General features: G+C 35.6%; 2 annotated features.

Annotated features, from left to right (window-relative positions):
• Positions 751–1,287: an enhancer, noted in NCBI's record as "H3K4me1 hESC enhancer chr1:163879274-163879810 (GRCh37/hg19 assembly coordinates)". NCBI's record gives its function as "activates a minimal SCP1, AML or CMV promoter by ChIP-STARR-seq in naive H9 embryonic stem cells {active_cell/tissue: H9 hESC(naive)}" and the evidence as "EXISTENCE:reporter gene assay evidence [ECO:0000049][PMID:30033119]".
• Positions 1,288–1,822: an enhancer, noted in NCBI's record as "NANOG-H3K4me1 hESC enhancer chr1:163879811-163880345 (GRCh37/hg19 assembly coordinates)". NCBI's record gives its function as "activates a minimal SCP1, AML or CMV promoter by ChIP-STARR-seq in naive H9 embryonic stem cells {active_cell/tissue: H9 hESC(naive)}" and the evidence as "EXISTENCE:reporter gene assay evidence [ECO:0000049][PMID:30033119]".

Genomic DNA, 5,044 nt, shown 5'->3' on the forward strand with positions numbered 1-5,044 from the left:
TCAGCACACTTAATGCTGGATAGATTGGGAGGAAATAGTTTCATGGGTGTGGAAGTCTAATTCTCTTACCATCAGCTTGGATTTTTGTGGGATTTTTTTGTTTGTTTGTTTGTTTCATTTCTCTGTGGCCCTGAGAACTGTCTTATCTTCATGTTTTATTTCTGTGATATTGATGGAGACAATTTTGGCATTGTATATATTTATTTTTGATTTTCTGTTGGAAGAGTAAAGCCAGCTTGCTTCTATGCCATCATTTTGCAACCAGAAGTTACCATGCCTTCCTATTTGTAAAATGATTACAAAGCAACTATAATCAAGACACTCTACCACTGGAGAAAGAATAGGCATATAAATTAATGGAAATTAATGGGATAGAATAGAGATTCAAGAAATAAAGCCATTTACCTATAATCAGCTTATTTTAGTCAAGGATTCTAAACCATCCAATGAAGAAATAATAGTTCTTTTTTACAAAAAGTGCTGGGATAACTGCATAGCCACATGCAAACAGTGCTTACCTCACGCCACATATAGAAATGTATACAAAATTGATCAAAGACCTAAGTGTAAAAGTGAAAACTTTAAAACTCTTAGTAGAAAACAAAGAGGTAAACCTTCATGACCTTGGGTTTTGCAAAGGATTCTTAGGTATGACACTAAAAGCTTATGCAATGACAATAACAATAACAACAAAAAAATAGGAAATCAGACTTCACCAAAGTGGAAAACTTTTCTACTTCAAAGGACACCACAAAAAAGTGAAAAGACAACCAGAGAAATGAGATAAAATATTGGCACATCATGTATCTTGTATGTGACTTGTATCCAAAATATGTAAAGAATTCTTACTACTCAATAATAAAAAGACAACCAAATCAAACATGGGTAAATCAGATGAATAAATGTTTCTTCAAGAAGCTCAACAACATTAATCATCAGGAAAATACAAATTAAAACCACAATGAGGCTGGGCGTGGTGGCTCACACCTGTAATTCCAGCACTTTTGGAGGCCGAGGCGAGTGGGTCACTTGCAGTCAGGAGTTCGAGACCAGCATGGCCAACATGGTGAAACCACCTCTCTACTAAAACTACAAAAAATTAGCCAGGGTTGGGAGGCCGAGGCGGGCGGATCACGAGGTCAGGAGATTGAGACCACGGTGAAACCCCGTCTCTACTAAAAATACAAAAAATTAGCCAGGCGTGGTGGCAGGTGCCTGTAGTCCCAGCTACTCGGGAGGCTGAGGCAGGAGAATGGCGTGAACCTGGGAGGCAGAGCTTGCAGTGAGCCGAGATCGCGCCACTGTACTCCAGCCTGGGCGACAGAGCGAGACTCCGTCTCAAACAAAAAAAAAATTAGCCAGGCATGGTGGTGCACACCTGTAATCCCAGCTACTCAGGAGAGATGGGAGAATAGCTGGAACCCAGGAGGCAGAGGTTGCAGAGAGTGAAGATTGCACCACTGCACTCCAGACTGGGAGACACAGCAAGAGTCCATTTCAAAACAAACAAACAAACGAACAAACAAACACCACAACGAGATACCATTTCACACCCAGTAGGTGACTAGAATAAAAGGTGTTGGCAAGAATGTGGAGAAATTTGAATGCTTACACTCTACTGGTGAGAATGTAAAGTAGTACAGCTTCTTTGAAAAACAAGCTGACAGTTCCTCAAATGATTAAACATAGAGTTATCATATAACCCAGTAATTCTACACCTAGGCATATACCCACCAAAGGACATAGTCTACACAGAAACTTGTAAATGAGTATTTCATAAAAGCGTTATTCATCTTAAACCAAAAGGTGGAAACACCTATCAACTGATAAATAAACAAAATGTGATATATCCACATACTGAAATATTATTTAGCCATAAAAAGAAATGAAGTAATGATACATGCTGCAACTTGGACAAATCTTGAAAACATCATGCTAAATAAAAGAGCAAAGTCACAAAAGACTATCTATTATATAATTCCATTAACATGAAATGTTTAGAACCAGGACATTTATAGAGACATAAAGTAGATTAATAGTTGCCTAGGGCTGGGGGTGAGGGTGGGAGTCAGCTGAGGGGTGAAGGGTTTGTATGATAGGTAAAGCATGCTAGAATTTTGGGAGAGATGATGAAAATATTCTAAAATTTACTGTGGTGATATTTGCATATATCTATGAATATACTTCAAAAATCTAATTTTAAAAATCCAATCCCAAACATCACAATCCTTAATGTTGTAATTCCAGAAGATCAAAGTCCTGAAAATATAATTCTGGAAAAATTATTTCAAAATTTCTTAAAATATATTTATTTATATTTTTAAAATGGAAATTTATTTGAGAAACTTATAAAAACATGACAGAACACTTCATAGGGCACTCTAATCAATGAAATGGGCAACTATAACATACATATTTTTGCAAACACATACTCTCATGTATACTAATGCAGTCACATGGGTAAAACAGTTATGAGCAGACAAATAGTACTAATAAAGAAATAGTTTATATAACTACCATCATCTGAAATACCATGACCAACAACCTAAGCCATTTGATGAGACTGATCAAAAACCATAATTGGTCGCCACCACATATGCAGTCACCCAAAGAGCCAACATCTTGAGAAGTCTCATCCTTCACAAATGCAGATGTCCAAAAAGGACATCTCTTCATTTATTGAGGACATTTCAACATTTCTACACATATGCACAATGCTTACACACAAAGCCGGTGTGACAACACACCTTTGTGAAGTCAAATTTGCAAAAAGTGCATAAACAATTAGATCTCTAAAAGTCTTTACATAATTAATACTGCCAATATTAAAAATGATATGAAGATAAAATAAATAACATAGCAAATTGTAAAAAATTAATACTGACAATTTAAATAGGGGGGAAACAATTTTAAAAGGAAAAAAAAAACAACGACCAAAAACCTAAAAAGAAAACTTGATATATGAAAAAGTGTAAATCTGCTTTTTGTGGCAGTGTAGGGGAGGCATGGTTCTCCATGGAGAATATATTCACATTCATTTTCTACGTGATGGTGCTCTTTTTGCAATTCTTCTCTGAGTCAATATTCATGGATGTGAGCATTCCCTGTTACATTTTCTCATCTTCTGTGCTATGCTTCCATGTTGTTTTGAGCACACAGAAATCCATTCTACATGCATTCATATACTGACAACAAATTTGGCAGGAACAACACTGATGATTGAAAAGCAACACCACTATGTGTCTTTTTATCCTCCTGTGCACATAATTATTTTTGAACCACTTACTGGCTTCTCCGGGCAAATGCAGCTTTAATTTATTAAAAACTCCTGGAATGTCATCAGTTAGAAGGAATGCCAATGCAGGCAGATGACACATTTTTAAGCTGAAGTTTTCATTGTGGCCTTATCACGTGGCCAATCCACTCATCTAAATTTTCTGCCAGATGCATTGAGCTGAATAAGGAAAAAACTTTATTGATAACACCTTGAAATTCACTTTTAGGAGCCTTGATCACACTGAATTCCAAGTCTATGATTATGGTTTGGTGAGTCAATTAAAATCTATTTGCTGCTGAAAAGTTCACCAAAATTTCAAATAACCATTTATAAAGTGCTTCACTTTTTTTTCAGTCATTAATATACAAATGAGTGAATAAGTTGGATCCAAAAGTTGTATGAATTGTACATATTTCATTAAAAAACTGCAGGGACAATTTGAAAGTGCTATCCATTAGCCAAAGCAAACATGCACTAGTTTTTCTGTTAGATTTAGTGGTAAATAAAATAAGTCTATTTTCTTTGACAGTCAAATCTCTAATTAAGAATAGTTCACCATTTAATGTGTTTTGTACTACTGAAGAAACGTCAGTATCAGCAAATGTCTTTGGTTCCGAAAGTCATTGAATTTGTAGAATTATTTTTATTCTCTGACAAAGGGTGGTTTTTGAAGCCAAGCATGGTGCTATGTGAGAAGGAGCAGAAGTAGTACATGATTAAATAATTTGGCAAGAGTAGGAGAGAGTTCTTGTATTTTTTGCCTGAGTTTTCACTTCTGTGATTTTTTGAAACACTGGCTGCCCTTGTATTTGGAGAGTGATTGTGGTCTACAAATTTTGTAAAGATGTGCTGTCCATTTGAAACTCTGGTTATTGCTTGACCATTGCAATTAAGCAATTTTCTGCTTTCACATCATCAATAATAATTAGCTTTTAAACTTTTATCTTTCATTATTAGTAGCTTCATACACTTATCACAGCCTTTTTGTGAAAGAACAATTTCACAGATCTCTTCCCATTGTGTTGTAGAGAATAGAGTGAGAAGGAATGATATTTGGCTTCCCCAATGCTAAATCTGTGTTAGTTAGGGTTCTCCAGAGAGACAGACCGATAAGATGTGTATATAAATATATCAGGTGAGATTTATTAGGGGAATTGGCTCACATGATTATGGTGGCTGAGAAGTCCTACAACAGCCTGTCTGTAAGCTGGAGACCCTGAGATGCCAGTAGTATAGCTCAATTCAAGTTTGAAAGCCTCAGAACCAGGGAAGTCGATGGTGTAACCAAGGTCTATGCCTCAGGATCTTGGGGGCTGCTGTTCGAAGTCCTGAAGTCTTGGTGGGTTGTATATGTCCAGAAATTTAGCTATTTCTTCTCAAAATTTTTGGCATATGGTTGTTCATAGCAGTCTTTCATAATAATTTGTATTTCTGTGACAACAGTTGAAATGGTCCTTTTTTAATCTCTAATTTTATTTATTTGGGTCTTTTTTTTCTTAGTCTAGCTAAAACACTACCAATTTTGTTTATTTTTCAAAAACAACTCTTAAATTTGTTGATATTTTGAAACTTTTTTAGTCTCTAATTCATTTATTTCTGCTCTGGGCTTTATTATTTTATTCCTTCTGCCAAATTGGGGTTTAGTTTAGTTTTGTTTTTCTAGTTTCTTGGGGTACATGGTTAGGTTATTAGAAATCTTTTTTGATATAAGATTTTATTGTCATACACTTGCTTCTAGAGCCACTTTTGCTGTGTCTCATAGGCTTT

The sequence above is a fragment of the Homo sapiens genome, chromosome 1, assembly GCF_000001405.40.
Source record: "Homo sapiens chromosome 1, GRCh38.p14 Primary Assembly".
Taxonomy (NCBI): domain Eukaryota; kingdom Metazoa; phylum Chordata; class Mammalia; order Primates; family Hominidae; genus Homo; species Homo sapiens.